This window comes from Homo sapiens, chromosome 9 (genome assembly GCF_000001405.40).
Source record: "Homo sapiens chromosome 9, GRCh38.p14 Primary Assembly".
In the NCBI taxonomy this organism is placed as follows: Eukaryota; Metazoa; Chordata; class Mammalia; order Primates; family Hominidae; genus Homo; species Homo sapiens.
The window spans coordinates 16054913-16072331 of record NC_000009.12 but is presented as its reverse complement, the minus strand read 5'-3'; the positions used below and the strand labels follow the sequence as shown (position 1 = coordinate 16072331).

At 44.7% G+C, this 17419-nt stretch overlaps 1 protein-coding gene across 2 annotated transcripts in view, besides 2 other annotated features; it reads right to left on the bottom strand.

Moving 5' to 3' along the window:
- Nucleotides 1-17419, bottom strand: part of CCDC171 (coiled-coil domain containing 171) — a 556042-nt gene that overhangs the window by 36595 nt on the left and 502028 nt on the right. The window contains exon 28 of one of the 2 annotated variants that reach the window (XR_001746227.3): nucleotides 10667-11686. The exons of the other annotated variant lie outside the window; for it this stretch is intronic. The gene's annotated coding sequence lies outside the window, so the exon portion shown is untranslated. Of the gene's footprint in view, nucleotides 1-10666; nucleotides 11687-17419 lie in introns of those variants that run through there. 2 annotated transcript variants of the gene reach the window in all.
- Nucleotides 10957-12156: an enhancer, noted in NCBI's record as "CDK7 strongly-dependent group 2 enhancer chr9:16060174-16061373 (GRCh37/hg19 assembly coordinates)". NCBI's record gives its function as "activates an origin of replication core promoter dependent on BRD2, BRD4, P300/CBP, MED14 and CDK7 cofactors, with strong dependence on CDK7, by STARR-seq in HCT116 cells {active_cell/tissue: HCT116}" and the evidence as "EXISTENCE:reporter gene assay evidence [ECO:0000049][PMID:35650434]".
- Nucleotides 11487-11987: an enhancer, noted in NCBI's record as "H3K27ac hESC enhancer chr9:16060343-16060843 (GRCh37/hg19 assembly coordinates)". NCBI's record gives its function as "activates a minimal SCP1, AML or CMV promoter by ChIP-STARR-seq in naive H9 embryonic stem cells {active_cell/tissue: H9 hESC(naive)}" and the evidence as "EXISTENCE:reporter gene assay evidence [ECO:0000049][PMID:30033119]".

Sequence of the window (17419 nt, the reverse complement as noted above, 5' to 3'; positions counted from 1 at the left end):
GAGCATAGGTAAGTTAGGGTCAGGAGAGGAAGACACTAAATTGAGAAGGTTACACTGATCTCAACATGCTAGTGCTTCTCAAAGCTTTCTACCCAATAGCAGAGGAAAAGAAGGTCTGGAAATCTTGGGTGGTGACTGGAAGTGGACTTTTACAATCTCGGAACTTCTGTTTAATCTGTAAAATTCATATGAGCTTTGCATTCTACTTTACATAAGATCAGTCTGTTTTAATATAAAAATAGTATTTAATTACTTTCCAGTAAAAACACTTCCCACACTCCAAGAATTCTTGCAGTCAAATTAATATTCCAGCAAGATGCTCCTATGGCTTCTCATGCCTCATGAAAGCCAGTATTGGATGATATACAACAGTGAGGAATTTGGTTTGTTCAGGTGAGCTGTGAGGGGAAACAGGGATTTGGGGGAGTTAAATTGGGGGTTATGGGGTTGGGTCAGTTTGAAATGGATATTAGAAAGCCAGGTAAGAGGCTTTTAAGGGAATCCCAATGAGCTCTCAGACTAGAGAATGGCAGTGGATGAAGCAAAAAACAACATACAGAAGAGAAATGTTTGAAGACCTGGTGGATGATTCACTCTAGGGGGCCAGACAAAGAGAAGAAGGAATAAAAGACAACTCTAACTTTGAACCCTGGGGATGTGATTCCAGGGTTGGGAAGCGAAGCTTCCTCTTCCCAAGGAGCAGGAGGGACATACCAACCTCAGCCAGCTGTGCTCGTGTGCTTGTGCATGACGCACATGTGGGAATGTATTCTCCATGGCCAGGCACTGGGGACAGGCAAGAAGATCTAAGCAAAAACACAACTGTGGGAGTGGGGCCATTCTCACAGAAGGCACAGCTGACACCACAAGAGTAGCTGGAAAGTCTGAGGGAGCAAGGAGAGAGGAGCAAACACTGAAGGTCGAGGGCTTGACTTAGGGGGAAGACACAGATCAGCAGTGGACAAGGGGAGAGGAGACTCTGTATGGGAGAGACAACAAGGTGTGCTGAGCTGACACATAGCCACAATGCTGGCAATCACAGGAGCAGAAAAACTCAGACTCGGTGGAGGAAAAAGAGGGGATGTCTTGGTTAGCAGCATGACTGAAGAGTCCAGGGGTAGATCCTGACCTCAGCTGTGATTAGGTCTCAGGTCTCAAACAATGCCATCGGAACTCCATCTCCTCTCTCTGCCTCCCTCTCTCCTGTGGATTCGCCTTTGCACAGCCTCTCTCACTGTGACGGCTCCTGGGAGCTCCAGGCTTTTAGCCTCTCATCTCATCAACCTCAGTTGAAAAGGAAATTCCTTGTCCCAAAAATTCCAACAGAAGTTCCAGCTTTGGCTCTGATTGGACCCCATTGGCTCACAGGCCTGTCCTTAAACCAGTCACTCTAGTCAGGCCTGGGTCACAAGCCAAAAATCCCCCATCCAAACCTACACTAACTAAGCATCGGGAAAGGGGCTTCCCCTGAAGAAGGAGGGCTACACAACTTCCACATAAAAACGGAATGAGTGCGGTCAGAGAGGTGGAGAGTGGGTCCAGGAGGAGAGGATGTTTAAGAAGCCGAGGGTGGAGGTGGGTGGCCACACATGTTAAATGTCATGCAAAGGCCAAAATAGAGGCCATAGAGGCCCCACGGCACTTGGCCAGAGAGGAAACCAGGCGGCTCCTCTCTCCTCTTTCTTGCTCCTGCCTTAGTTGTGAGTCTGAAGACAGTCACACCCATCCCTGGCTTCCCTCCTTCCTCACACCCACCCTGGCATCCAGAGCCCAGCTCACAGCCCCTCAACCCCTTCTCCAGCCTTTCAGAACCAAGCCAGAGCCACTGTTGCTGGGCCCCCAGGCCCAACCAGCAATAAAAAGTCCCTTCTGGCTTCTGCAAGGGAGCTCGTAATGTGAGAGCCAGGTCCTCCCTGGCTGGATGTCCCCACCACACACATCATATGATTCCTTCCTTCCCAGCAGGTACTTTTTCCAGTGAAAGAATCACCCCTCCTCTGTCCTTTACCTCTGACCCACCAATTGTTTGCCGAGGCAGGACCAGTAACACTCCTTGGCTGGACTTCAGAATTCCAGTCCGGCCGGGGGTGTTAGGCTGGGATTTAACCACGGACCCCGAGGGGCTCATGTTATATGAATCATCTCCCCAGTGCGCCAAGACATCAAACCAGACTTCACCCCTCACTCTTTCTTTCCAGGCCGCTTCAGCTCATTGGAGTTTAAAGCTACACGGCTCGCAGCAGCTCATCTGGAACATCCCTGAGCGCTCCCCTTTTCATGAGAGCACACACCCTCAGAGAGCAAGGCAGAGTCAGACAGACAGACAGACAGATGGACAGGGAGAGGAGAGTCTGGCAGACGGACAGAATGAATATGGATTTCCTGCCCCTGCTATGGGAGGGGGAGCCCTGGCAATCACATCCAATGTTAGAATCCAGCTTGGGAAGGGCTGACAGCAACTCCCCTTAGGAATCTGAGTGGGTTCTTTTGTGTGTGATGTTTTGAAGCATGTCAGCATTCCTGGGCACTGTCAGCCTCCTTCAAATGACCCGAGTGGGGGTGTGAACAGCAAGCTCTCACCGCCTTAGGCTGTGCAAAAGGAAAGGCTGGGAATAGTGTTCCAGAGGTTTCCTCTCACTGTGAAAATCAAGGCAGAAATGCCTCGTCCTCAGCTCCCCAAATACCCTTGAAGATCAAGGGACAGCTAAGCTAATCTATTATAAATTCTAATGTAGCACAGTTCCCTGACCAGAGCTGCTTCTCCTTCGGTGCCCCGAGCGTTAGCCAATATTTCATCAAAACCTTCTCCCTTCCTCGGGTCCACATCTGCTCCTCCTTCTCACCCCGAGAGGCTCGCACGCTGGCGCCTTCTTCGTGCATATGGTCTCCACGCACACACACGTGCACACGCACATGCACATGCACACCGCTGGACTCTGATCTTCCTTCCTGATTGATGATACTACCTGGCCCAGTCTGGTTTGAAATGATCATTTTTCACTCTCAGCATTTTTGAATCTCACAAAAAGATGCTCAAAAACACCAAAATGGTAACACACACACATATCTGCACACACATTACACATATACCAAGCCACTCAGAGCTTTTTTCCATGAGATGTTTTTTTCTGAGAATTAGTCTTTTCTTATGATTTTAACCTTACTCCTTACGTCATGTAGGCCTAAATCGCCAGTGTAATAAAAGTGTATACCAAGGCCAGGGAGTGGCCAAGTCACTTACATGGGGCAGGAAGTCCACCTCATGTGCTTGAAGACCTGAATGCAGCCACTTCAATAGCTGCTCAGTCTTAATCCTCCCTCCTCTAAAATGGGTCTAACTACCCCCTCCAGGAATCAGGCTGTAGGGTGTTAACTTCTGCCAGACCTTTTTGGAGATGAAGACACAATGCTCACCATGGCATGCTGAGCCAGGAGGCAGGCGGGACCCCTCCAGACTTTGAGACCCTGTCTGAGTGAGCAGTTTAAGAAAGGATTATAATTTAGCAGCTGGGTGTGAGCAAAGAAACTGCCCCCATAAAAACCAGAATACATCGTATCCTGGCAGAATACATCGTATGACCCCAGGTTTCTGTTGTATGTAATCGTCATCCTAAAGGAATCTCTGTACAATGTTGACTGCGTGCCAGGCACTGTGATTTACGTAGATTCACTCGTTTGCTTCTCTTAACCCCCATGCTGAGGAAGGCACCATCATGAAGTCAAATTAACAGACGACGAAACAACAGCGGAAAAGTTAAATAACTTGCTCAAGTGGTGGAGCCAGAGTTTGAACTGAGAATGGTTCAAGGGTCTGTGCTTTTAGCCATCACAGTATACTGAAGAGAGCAAGCAGGTGAACAAGTGAGCACGTGTGTGTGCATAGAAAAAGAGGAAGAAGAAAGTCATTGGTAGCTTGATGGGGATGGCATTGAATCTGTAAATTACCTTGGGCAGTATGGCCATTTTCACGATATTGATTCTTCCTACCCATGAGCATTGAATGTTCTTCCATTTGTTTGTATCCTCTTTTATTTCCTTGAGCAGTGGTTTGTAGTTCTCCTTGAAGAGGTCCTTCACATCCCTTATAAGTTGGATTCCTAGGTATTTTATTCTCTTTGAAGCAATTGTGAATGGGAGTTCACTCATGATTTGGCTCTCTGTTTGTCTGTTGTTGGTGTATAAGAATGCTTGTGATTTTTGTACATTGATTTTGTATCCTGAGACTTTGCTGAAGTTGCTTATCAGCTTAAGGAGATTTTGGGCTGAGACAATGGGGTTTTCTAGATATACAATCATGTCGTCTGCAAACAGGGACAATTTGACTTCCCCTTTTCCTAATTGAATACCTTTTATTTCCTTCTCCTGCCTAATTGCCCTGGACAGAACTTCCAACACTATGTCAATCCTAAGCCAGAAGAACAAAGCTGGAGGCATCACACTACCTGACTTCAAACTATACTACAAGGCTACAGTAACCAAAACAGCACGGCACTGGTACCAAAACAGAGATATAGATCAATGGAACAGAACAGAACCCTCAGAAATAACACTGCATATCTACAACTATCTGATCTTTGACAAACCTGAGAAAAACGAGCAATGGGGAAAGGATTCCCTATTTAATAAATGGTGCTGGGAAAACTGGCTAGCCATATGTAGAAAGCTGAAACTGGATCCCTTCCTTACACCTTATACAAAAATTAATTCAAGATGGATTAAAGACTTAAACGTTAGACCTAAAACCATAAAAACCAGAGAAGAAAACCTAGGCATTACTATTCAGGACATGGGCATGGGCAAGGACTTCATGTCTAAAACACCAAAAGCAATGGCAACAAAAGCCAAAATTGACAAATGGGATCTAATTAAACTAAAGAGCTTCTGCACAGCAAAAGAAACTACCATCAGAGTGAACAGGAAACCTACAAAATGGGAGACAATTTTCGCGACCTACTCATCTGACAAAGGGCTAATATCCAGAATCTACAATGAACTCAAACAAATTTACAAGAAAAAAACAAACAACCCCATCAAAAAGTGGGCGGAGGACATGAACAGACACTTCTCAAAAGAAGACATTTATACAGCCAAAAAACACATGAAAAAATGCTCATCATCACTGGCCATCAGAGAAATGCAAATCAAAACCACAATGAGATACCATCTCACACCAGTTAGAATGGCCATCATTAAAAAGTCAGGAAACAACAGGTGCTGGAGAGGATGTGGAGAAATAGGAACACTTTTACACTGTTGGTGGGACTGTAAACTAGTTCAACCACTGTGGAAGTCAGTGTGGCAATTCCTCAGGGATCTAGAACTAGAAATACCATTTGACCCAGCCATCCCATTACTGGGTATATACCCAAAGGACTATAAATCATGCTGCTATAAAGACACATGCACACCTATGTTTATTGCGGCATTATTCACAATAGCAAAGACTTGGAACCAACCCAAATGTCCAACAATGATAGACTGGATTAAGAAAATGTGGCACATATACACCATGGAATACTATGCAGCCATAAAAAATGATGAGTTCATGTCCTTTGCAGGGACATGGATGAAATTGGAAATCATCATTCTCAGTAAACTATCGCAAGAACAAAAAACCAAACACCGCATATTCTCACTCATAGGTGGGAATTGAACAATGAGATCACATGGATACAGGAAGGGGAATATCACACTCTGGGGACTGTTGTGGGGTGGGGGGAGGGGGGAGGGATAGCATCGGGAGATATACCTAATGCTAGATGACGAGTTAGTGGGTGCAGCGCACCAGCATGGCACATGTATACATATATAACTAACCTGCACAATGTGCACATGTACCCTAAAACTTAAAGTATAATAAAAAAAAAAAAAGAAAAGAAAAAGAGGAAGAAAACACAGCACGTGACTTCACGGTTATAGGTGGCATGACAGGGGATTTTTCCCTTTTGCTGTAGTATTTGCACTTTATCTATACTTCTGTGACATCTACAGTGAACAATAATTTTTAAATGCTCTTTTGAAAGAGCATCTCCCAGTTCTGTTTATTGGACTACCATGCTTTTTAACCCAACGCAGCAGACAGGTAGGGGCAATGCTCACACTGTTAGGCAGATTTAAGCCATTCCTCAGACACAGTCAACAAAACAAGGAAGAGTGACCGAGAAGAGGTTAGTCTGCAGTGAAGAAATCTTGTCATCAAGGAAGTAGAAAGTAGCCTGATGCACCCCAAATCTACTCAAGCTCCTGATGTCCATGGACAGCATTAGGGAGACAGTGGGATGGACGGAAAGGACCTAGATTGGGTCAAGGATCAGAAGACCAAGTTTCTAGACTTATTATCTCTTTCTCATCTTGTGGTACCCAGATAATTTCTGCACTGTCTGAACCAGCTTTCTCACCTTGCCCTTTGACGGCCTCCTGGATTCTAAGATAGTCACAGGAGATACTGTTTTTGGTGGTCTTTATATGTGTTGCCTCATTTAATCAGCACACACACACACACACACACACACACACACACACCATGCACACAAACCCATAGGTGGGTGCTGATTTCACAGATAGGAAAACTGATCAAGGTCACAAAGCAAATAAGCTACTGAGTTCAGATGCCAACCCAGGGACAAGTGGCCCATGATTTTGGAGTTCTCTTGGAGTGAATAATGTCATCATGTTTCTAAAGCAAATATTCCAAAGACAAATACCTGGTCTAATCCTCTGCCTCAAACTGTGTGTCAGAGTGGTGCTCACATGGTTGTGGCTGCGTTCTGTGCTGTTTTAAGGAAAGTGCTTTGTAACTCTTCCTCCACTTCAGCTCACCCTTCACTGCTCTCCTTATCCCTCAGGTTCCTCATCCTTCAGGGCCCCTCGAGCTTTCCAAGGTGAAAGGAACCAGCTCATCAGGAAGAGAGCTCAGTTCTCTGGCACCCACAGAGAGACAATCTCCCATTAGCCCCGAGGTGCTGGCCCACAAGCTTTTCCCAGAACGTCCCAGAAGTGGTGGGGAGGGAGGGAGCTTGCACTACACACAGCCAGCCAGCTCTCTGGGCAGGCAGCAATAATGGAGAATGTGATAAGCTGTCACTAGAAGCCAGCTCAGTTCTCTGAGACTTAATGGTAGAATAACACAATAGGGTCAGACTAAAAAGGTTCCCTTATGAAAATTTTATCAGCAACTTTGGTAAGTGGCTATGGGAAAGGTGCTTTGCTCGCAGGCGGACCTGGGACCCGATTTTACAAGGTAGAGGCAGCCTGCATTGCATCACCCCCACAAGATATTAAGGGCACTCAAATTGAATTAACACCAAATCAAGCTGGTGCACTTAACAATACAAATGCACTTAAGGGATGCCTCAGGATGATTTGTGACTAAAGAAAGCAAAGAAGAAAACTGACTGCAAGCCACAAGGGCGGTGTTGTGTGTCATCTACAGGAAAGGCCATAAGTAGAAGTTAGAATACCGGAAAACCATGAACTTCGAGGGCTCTCAAATACCTTAGACCCAGCCGTAAAGTAGAAGGCCGCTTTTGTGGTATACAGAAACAACTGATAAATAAATTACGGCCAATTTTCTTAGTGGCATGGTCTCCATTACCTCTGACAGTGGCGTAACTACTCTGCTAAGATGATAAGAGGTGAATAATGGTGGATCAGGTAGCGCCCCAGGAAATTCTTTGCCAGTTGCCATGCCTCTTCATGACAGTGAAGACACAAAGATCCTCATTGAGAGCCAAGTGATGACAAGTGACAGCTCACCAGGCAGATCTTGACAGGCCCTAAAAAGAATCAGCCAAAAGTGTCCCTGGCAGATGGGACCCCAGAGTCAGGGCTGGCCCTTTCGCCTCTTTCCTTCTCTTGTCAGCATTTGTCTGCACACATTTTCTCCTCTCGCGTCTTCCTCCTCTGCCCTCAGCCTCCCTCACCCTCTCCCCACACCTCTATCTGCACCCCCTCACCTTCTCTCTCGCAGACACACTGTCTACCGAGCTGGAAGACAATTCGGCCATCTTCATAGATGAATGGCTCTTCTGAGGTAATATTGGAAACTTGGATACATTCTGGACTTGGGAGAATTCAGGGGGAAAAAACGGCCTCACTGGGGATTTCTTTCCATCAAGTGAAATACACACAAAAGCATGCTTTTGTTATCCTTTCAGGAAAAGAGCTGCCTCCATGCAGGGTCTCACTCTGAAAACGGGTTACATTTAGGTTGGAGGTGGCCTAATTTTGTCAGAGTTAAAGCAATTGCTCATCGAGTCATGAGGCGGCTGGGAAACTGGGGCAGGCAAATTCAGTTTTTCACTGTGGAAAAAGGATTTCTGGAATAGTCGGGAGGACCACTTGTAGCTGCTGTTGTGTCTCCAGCAAGACTTGCTCACTCCAGGAGGTGGGCATTGTCGGACAGAAAATTGGAACAATAAGAAGGTCTCTGCATTTAGAATTCACTATCTTGGTCCCTTGCTCTGCTAGAATTTAGCTGTGTGACCTCGGGTGAGTCACTTGACTTCTTTGAGTCGTACTTTCTCCTTTAATAAAATGGAGGCCTTTGCATTTGACGGTTTTGAGGATGGAACAAATGTTATAATGGGGAAAGTCTTTGGAAACTGGGAACTATCTATGAACAAAAGGCATTGTCATGAGGAACACAATATCCAAAAGGCACATGCAGATCCACTTCTTATAGAAACAGTCAAAAGTCTCAAGGAAGAATATTCAAACCACTCCTGGTTTTCGCTTTTCCGTAACAGCAGCCTCCTCTCAGATAATCAAGGAACGAGAAGAGTAAACCAATGCAAATGAAATATACTAAAACCCCCCAACTTCACTTTTTAGCTTCTCCCATACAGAATTTTAAAATGAAGACAGTGAATTGCATAATTCCTGGTATTCCCTAGCAGTGAGGTATTCCCAAACTCAACACGTCTTGAGGGCTTGTGGCCAGATCACCTCCTGCTTCTCAGAGTGGGAGCCAGAGAGTTATCCCATCCCCAGACCATCCGTGGCAAGCCTGTCCCCACCTGCCCGCCAGGTAGTGATGTTCCTCTCTTTCGAGCATTTTACCTCTGCCTGGGGCATCTGGAGTCCCTGTACATGGTGTCTTCTGCTCACTCTATTACTTGAAAATCACCCCTTAAATGCTTAGGAATCACTACTCACATTGTGCATTTTCCTGCTATCACTGGTCCCCTTTCCGCAAACCACCTTCTTTGGAGCTTACAAATCATTATTCATCAGTGATTCACCAAGTCAACAAATAGTCACCGAGCGCCAACTCTGTGGTACCAGGTGTCGGTAACACGGGGGTGATGCAACAGCTTCCCTAACTCCAAGGAGCATACTTTCTCATCATTCTTCCTCTCCTGGCCCCATCTTCGGTTTCACTATTTAGTTCCAAAATATCAAGAGCTACACCGAGCACATGTCTCTAGTGAGGGAAACTCCCCTACAAATTGGAAAGGAAGCAAAATTTGTGTCACCTGGAACTCCATCCTTCAAGGATCTCCAAGTACAATTAATTCGTCCCTCACCGGGGTCCCCCAGACTCATACACATACTTGTACACATCATGTGCTCAGTCATTTGTGTGCATGTCACTCTCTCACCAACACACTCCAGGCTCCTTATCTTACTCATGTCTGTATCTGAAGTGTGTACCACAAGTCCAGGTACTTAGCTGGTACTCAAAAAGCCTTTGTGGAGTGAATGAATGCAGGAATGAATGAATGGATGAATGAATTTGTCATCTCCTTACTTTCTTTTTGTTTTCTTTCCAACATTTCTTTTAGGTTCAGGGCATACAGGGGCAGGTTTGTTCGATGGGTAAATTGCATGTCTCGGGGTTTTGGTATACAGATTATTTGGTCACCCAGGTAATAAACTTAGTACCTGATAGGTAGTTTTTCAATCCTTTCCTCCTCCCAGCTTCCACCCTCAAGTTGTCCCTGGTGTCTATCATTCCCTCCTTTGTGTCCATGTGCGCTCAGTGTTTAGCTCCCACTTATGAGTGAGAACATGCAGTACTTGGTTTTCTGATCCTGCATTAATTCATTTAGAATAATGGTTTCCAGCTCCATTCATGTTGCTGCAAAATCTCCTTACTTTCTCTGTCCATAACCTTCTCCCCTTTCTTGTTTGTTTGTTTTGTTTTTTTGTTTGTTTTCCCTATCATCCCCAGCCCCAGCCTGTGATACAAGGAGACAGTGTAGCCTAGTGGTCATCAACACAGGTTCTCTCTGGGATGTGTTGGGGTTGGCTCTGATTGGCTTGCAAGAGTGGATTGTTAAAATGAAGACAGTGAATTGTACAATTCCTGGTATTCCCTAGCAGTGAGGTATTTTTAAAAATTTTTGAGCTGGTTTTAAACTGTTGGTAACTTGAATTCAGCCATAGTGGGAGGGTTTATACCATGGAAATCAGTAAATGCTCCAAACCAGGGATTTGGAGTTCTGGTTTTGCATGCCTGTTTGCCGGCACACCACTTCTCCGAGTTATCCCAACCTGAATTTGCAGCTCAGCTTTACCATGGACAAGTTGCTTGCTATCTCTAAGACTCAGTCTCCTTATCTGTAAAAATGGAGATGAAAAGTATGGCTTCATGGGGTTACTGTGAGAATTAAATGACCCAATGTTTATAAAGTGCTTAGCATAGTTCTTTGCACACAGTAAGTGTTCAATAAAGGCAGTTATTTTTATTAGCAGTAGTATTGTATTAGCATTAGTGTTATCATTCCTTGGCTTTCTGTGAATGCATTCTTTCCTCCAGTTAGTTATACTTTTTTCTTATTCTACAAAGAACTGGTGACAACTTGAAAAAGCAAAAACTATTAAATAGAATATATAAATAAAAAATCAGGAAGAGAGAAAATAAACATGAGGCTACAAAGTCAAAATCACAACACTATTAGAACTGAATGGGATCTAATAGATTAAGACTCAATGGAGTGTTTGTTGTAAATTTCTTAAGGTGCTGCCAACAGAATCACAGAGTGTTAGAGCTCAAGGAACCTCAAAGATGTTCTAGTTGAATCCTTGTTTACAGATGGAAAACTGAGGCAGGCAGGCAGGAAGGAATCATTTCTTGAGCACTAGCAAGCATAGTGGCTAACGTTTTCGCTTTCATCATCCCTATAGAATTCCATTTTATAGAAAGCCACTGAGGCAAAGGAAATGACCAGACTTGCCTAAAGCCACCTGGTTGGTAATGGTTGAACTGAAATTGGGACCCAGGCTCCCATCTCATAGTCCACCCCTTTCTTCTGTCTTCTTCCTGCAGAAAGATACATTTGGTGATAAGAGCGTCCCAAAGATCAAAAAGTCTTTCAAGGTCCAACAGAATTACACTCAAATGGAAAAACTGCAGGTGTGTGATGGAGGGGACTTTCCAGGGAATTTCCTAGGTCTGGCTGTGACACATGAAAGAATGACAAGCATAAGCCCAGTGGCAAGAACAACTGCTTTTGCAAAAAACACATCCTCATTTTGTGTTGGCTTTTGAAAAGAGATCTGTGTTATTAATTCATATTCATTTGTGGTCCACTCTGAAGTTCAGGTCTTTTTCTGCTGTTCTTGTAACTAGAAATGTTTTTTTCTAACTCCTACCGATAGCTTTTACTTCCTTCTTCACAAAGCCTTCTGTTGGCATGGTTAGTGGGTATGGAAATGAAGTCTCTTTTCCCTTCCTTTTCATCTGAAAGAAGCAGCACAAAGCAAGAAGGTGGTTAAAAAGCAATCAATGGGGCTGACACAGAAGGGCAAAGAACAGGCTATGTCATCCACAGAGTGAATGAACCCACCATTTACAGAGAGTTGATAGCAATGTCTCACTTATTAGGCCACCACCCCTGCTTGGCAGCAAGCGGGCTGAGGCCCAGCCTGGGGGGTCTGTTTTATGAGGATCATGTTATTGCCCTCAGAGCTGTAGTTGACCTCACACCAAATAAACACGTCAGCCAGTTCCAAAGTCACCGTTCCCAGGTGTGGTCTCGAGGCGCCACGCAAAGACCCTCACGGTCATCGCTCCGTTTTTCCTCACCTCCACTCAGAAATGGCTCTCACAGTCTCAGCATCGGTACTGACAACTCTCTCCCTATCCCTTTCCCCAAATCATTTGTCAAAACAGTCCAAGATCTCATGAACTGGACCTGAATTGCCATCTGAGTGCAGGTCCAGCCACTAGCCTTCAGAGAGAAGACCCTGCAAAGGAGAAAAACTAATACACAATTAAATACAAATTTACATACATATACATTTACATGCTACGTCTCCCTCAAAAATTAAGGAAGGGAGGTTGGGCAGTTGCTTTTTATTTGTTTTTCCAGTTTTTTATTAAAAATATGCTTTTCATTATTTGTTTTTCACACAGCAGAATTAACTGTTCCAGACTTCATCTCAGGTTAGCTTAAACACTGGCGTAGTTCTGAGCTCCATCATTCTACCACCAGTTTGGGTGAGCTTGGGTAATACTGACTCACTCACTTGCAAGTTTTTTAATAAGTCGGGTGTGTTAAAGAAAAAAAAAAGGCCAGGCGCGGTGGCTCACGCCTGTAATCCCAGCACTTTGGGAGGCCGAGGCGGGTGGATCATGAGGTCAGGCGATCGAGACCATCCTGGCTAACAAGGTGAAACCCCGTCTCTACTAAAAATACAAAAAATTAGCCGGGCGCGGTGGCGGGCGCCTGTAGTCCCAGCTACTCGGGAGGCTGAGGCAGGAGAATGGCGTGAACCTGGGAAGCGGAGCTTGCAGTGAGCCGAGATTGCGCCACTGCAGTCCGCAGTCCGGCCTGGGCGACAGAGCGAGACTCCGTCTCAAAAAAAAAAAAAAAAAAAAGAAAAAAAAAAAAAGACCTGCTATCAAAAATCAAGCAAAAAGCCCAGTGTCCCCTGGAAAGCCCCCTTGAGGTGCCGTTTGCATCACTCACAGTGTGGAAGTCCTCTCCGGACACCGGACGCATATTCTCACCCGGGGATGCCTCTAATTGGGCCGTAGTTTCTAAAGAATATTCGTGTGAATTCCAACCCCACCACTCAACTTCTGTGACCTTGGACAAGTCATGTCAATCTTAGTCCTTTAAGTGTAAAACAGAAACATTCGCACCTGCCTGATGTACCTCATGAGCAAATACAAATGTGCTTTGGAAACAATAACGTGGTAGGGAAATGGCAGCTGTTATAATTGTAATAAGATCAAAAATGACCCAAGAACATGGCTCATCAGACACTGTCTCGGGTGCTTGGTTCTGGAAGCATTTCTTTTGGAGCCAGCAGCGAGGTCACTGTGGAGACAGGAACAGACCATTTTGCTTCCATGTTTGTGGGAAAAGGCACCATCTTGGAAGGGAGGACAGGAATGCATTGTGGGAAAACCCACAGCATGCCTGTTGTTCAGAAAACACAACTGAAACCACACTAGTTAGAAAGTATTGAGTCTACAACCTGAACAAAAAGAATTCAAACACTTGAGCTTACGCTGGGATTGTTTTCCCAGGGTCAATCCTGCCTTAGAACTTTGCTGAGGAATTTACGTTTCTCATTACTTGAGGGAAATAAGAAGCTCAGTTGAGACAATTAGAATTCTATTCTGGAGGCAAAACAACAGCTCCAGTTTGGCCTGTGTTTTATTCCCACCTCTCCTTCAGGCTTTACCTGAAGTATCTCAAAGGAAACACAGCGGGGAATTGGTATCTTTGCTGGTCTATTACAAGGTCTCTTTGTGTTCTGCTTCTCCAGTTTCTGAATCGGTAACTCCTGAAATACACCTTGCAAAGTCCCTCTTTATGCAGAAGTACCACTGAAATTCATTATCTCCTCCTCTGAGAACCAGGCAAAGGAACAGGCCCCCGTGTGGAGAATCTTCATGCTCACAAACACATCTGGACGGGGAGGTGACTTGTGCACGCCGGCGAGGATACCTGCAGCATACCTGCAGCATACCTGCTGTCACTGCAGGGTAACAGGCAAGGGGGCTGAGAAATAGAGGGAGGAAAGAGGCAGGGGAGTGTTCTCACGGTGGATGATGAGAGGAGAGTGGAAGGATGTGGTCATGGGGAGAGAGGAAAGAAAGATGAATGGGGCCTGAGTCAGTCATAGGCTAAAGCAAACAGGAAGGTTTTAAAGTGAGATTTGAGGAGAGGAAGTGGTTCTGAGCAAGGGGAGGGAGAGAGTTCCAGAGATCGGTCTTGGACAAGAGCTACTCTTCATTTTTTTGGATAGTCCCCCTCATGTGAATATTTCTTGGCAGCTCTGACAGACGGGTGAACCAATTTATTATTATTATTATTATTTTTTTTTTTTCAAAAAATTCACAACTGGCTTCAACTCTCCCCTAGACCTTGAACCAAAAGGGATTGAGACTTTAGGTCTGAAAACATTCAGGAGATTCATTTGTGCTCTGCTTCATTTGCACTGCTGCCTGCTGCTCACAGCAAACACTCAGGGCCACCCAGACAAGGGCATAGAGGGAGGTGTCCCAGCCCCTGCTAACCTGCAGCCAATCTCTCTGATGCCGTGTCCACTGTGCCTGAGTGGATCCAGGAATATCATCTGGGGGGAGCTTGGCACCTTTATAAATCTCTCTAAACCTAAACTGCTGGATGTGGAATCACGGTTGCTACCTCCCGGTCTGGCAACAGGGCTTGTGTGTGGCAGAGGGAGGGAAGCGGGAGGGGGCTTTGGGGCTGGGGACCCAGTGGCAGGTCACATGAAGAGACAAGGGACAAGGGTTTTGGACTTGGCATTCCCATGGAAAGCCTAAAGGTGCAGATCCTACCAGATAAAGAGCAACCTTGAATAGACACACAGTGCCCTGCCTTCTGAGGACTGATCTTACAATAGCTCTAGAAGCCAAAAACAAAACAAAATGAAGCACTAACAAAAAAACAAAACAAAACAAACAAAAAAAACTTCCTTGAAAGAACTTAACCAAAACCAGCACATCTTAAATCTTTCCAGTTCCTGGGGGAAGTTCCCTTCCCACTACCGTTTATCAGAAACTGTTTTCTCCATATTGTAAAAGATAATAAAATCCTCTGGGCTTCAAGAACTAAGAGGCTTTGATTTTGCTTCTTGTTTCGTGACTTTGGGAACTGAACCTTCATGGTTCTTATCATTTTCATCTATAAAATGGGGTTAATAAGCTTTGCTCCCACCTCAAAAAACATTACTCACATGATATGAACTCCTTGTGTAAAGATCAAGACATATATATAAAAGGATGTCATTCATAACAGCAGAAGTTGTTACAGAACAACACCTAATAATGTCCAGGTTATTGTTTCTTCTTAAACTAAAACTGAACTCAGGCATGAAAACTCAATGCTGGATCGCTTTTTATTGTGCTAGAAAATAAGCAATTTAAATAAAAACTCCAATACTTCTGCTGTGTCTACATTCTCTATTTTGAAATCCAAACTCATTTCTACATTACAATTAAATTTTAAACATAATATACTGAGCACATTTTAAATGCTTATATTGCTTTAACAGCTTTAATGAGATATAATTCATCTTCTCTTATATTATTTTTTATACTTTAAAACTTCACTGTTAGGGCCGGCCACAGTGGCTCACACCTCTAATCCGAGCACTTTGGGAAACCAAGGCAGGCAGATCATCTGAGGCCAGGAGTTTGAGACCAGCCTGGTCAACATGGTGAATCCCTGTCTCTACTAAAAATATAAAAATTAGCCAGGTGTGGTGGTGCACCCCTGTAGTCCCAGCTACTCTGGAGGCTGAAGCAGGGGGATTGCTTGAACCTGGGAGGCGGAGGTTGCAGTGAGCCGAGATCATGCTGCTGCACTCCAGCCTGGGCCACAGAACGAGACTCCATCTCGAAAACAAAACAAAATAAAACAAAAGAACAAAAAACTTCTCTGTCAAATATAGTAGTCACTAGGCTCGTGTGGCTACTTGAATTTCAATTTAAATTAACAATTACTTAGTACAACTAAAAATCCAGTTTCTCAGTCATACTAATCACATTTCAAGTGCTCAGTAGTCATGTGTGGCTAGTGGCTATGGATTAGACAGTACAAACATAGACCAGTTCCATTGTTGTAGAAAGTTCCGTTGGGCAACACTGCTCTAAAACAATACAGAATATACTCATTACAAAAATGTGGAAAATATATAAAATCAGGGAAAAGACACAAATTTCTTATTTTCCCACCACCAATGAAAACCACTATTAATAATTTAGCAGATTATTTATAATGTTTGGGTTTTTTTCCTGAATATCTGTTTTGTTTCGTTTAGATTACATGGTTGTGATCTGTTGAATATGCAATGTTATAGTCTGCTAAGCTTTAAAATAAAAGCATTCTTCCATGTTGTTGCCTCCTTCTCAGAAACATAAATGGCTGCAGAATATTTCATTACCCAATTGTTGGCATATAGAGGGTACACGTTTGAATTTTTCTTAATTCAAATAAAGGTAAAATTTCTGATTTAATAGCACTTGCTTGCTTTAAAAAGAGCCCAGAGAAATTACTGCATTCTGCAATAGTTCCTAACATACACAGAATCTGGGAGCATCAGGAATAATCCGCTTGAACCATTGGTGGCTTCCTCTCCCTTCCTGAGCCCCTGAACTTGGAGGAGGCACATGTGTGTCATCTCCCACTACTTTAGGGCTATGTTCAGCAGATGCAAGGTAAGGCCAACATGCTGCAAAATGAGGATAGGCATCAAGAAATTACACGTTTCATTTGCCAAAAGCTAACGCAGAAGGATTATGCCCTCTCAGAGCCTTCTTCCTGCAATATACTATGAGCCTCACAGGGCCCAGCGGCGTTGCTGAGGGGGCAGTGGACATGAAAGGACCCCACACAGAGCCTGGCACACTCTCACAGAAAGCTTCCAGAGCCCTCCCTCAGCAGGTTCTTCTCCTACTACACCGGTCTCCTCTTCCTCTTCACATGAGTGTCAAGGACCACAGGCTCTGCCCCCAGACTCCTCAGTGACCCAGCTCAGCCAGCCTGTGGCTTTAGCCACCAAGAGGACCCCAAACTTCTCTCTGCCTCCTGAACTCTCTCTGAACTCCATACTCAGACATCTGCCAAAACATCTCTGGGCATCTCAGAACTAAAATGTAATTTTACCCCATCTCCCTATCAAATAAACGAACAAAGATAACAAAAATCTCTGCCCCTACTACAGTTCCCCCATCTCCATAAATGACATCTCCATTTTTCTAAATGCTCAGGTCAAAAATCTGAGGTCCTCCTTTGTCCTTCTCTTTCTCTAATGCCTCATCCATCATTAAATTCCTCAAATCCTACCTTCCCACCTCCACCAGCCCGACAGCCACTGCCCCCTCTCACCTGGCCACCGCAGCAGCTTCCCAACTGGCCTCTCTGCATCCACCCTTGCCCCGAGGGGCTTCGTCTCCACGTTAAGTTCTCACCAAGGTAGTTCCACCTGCCCC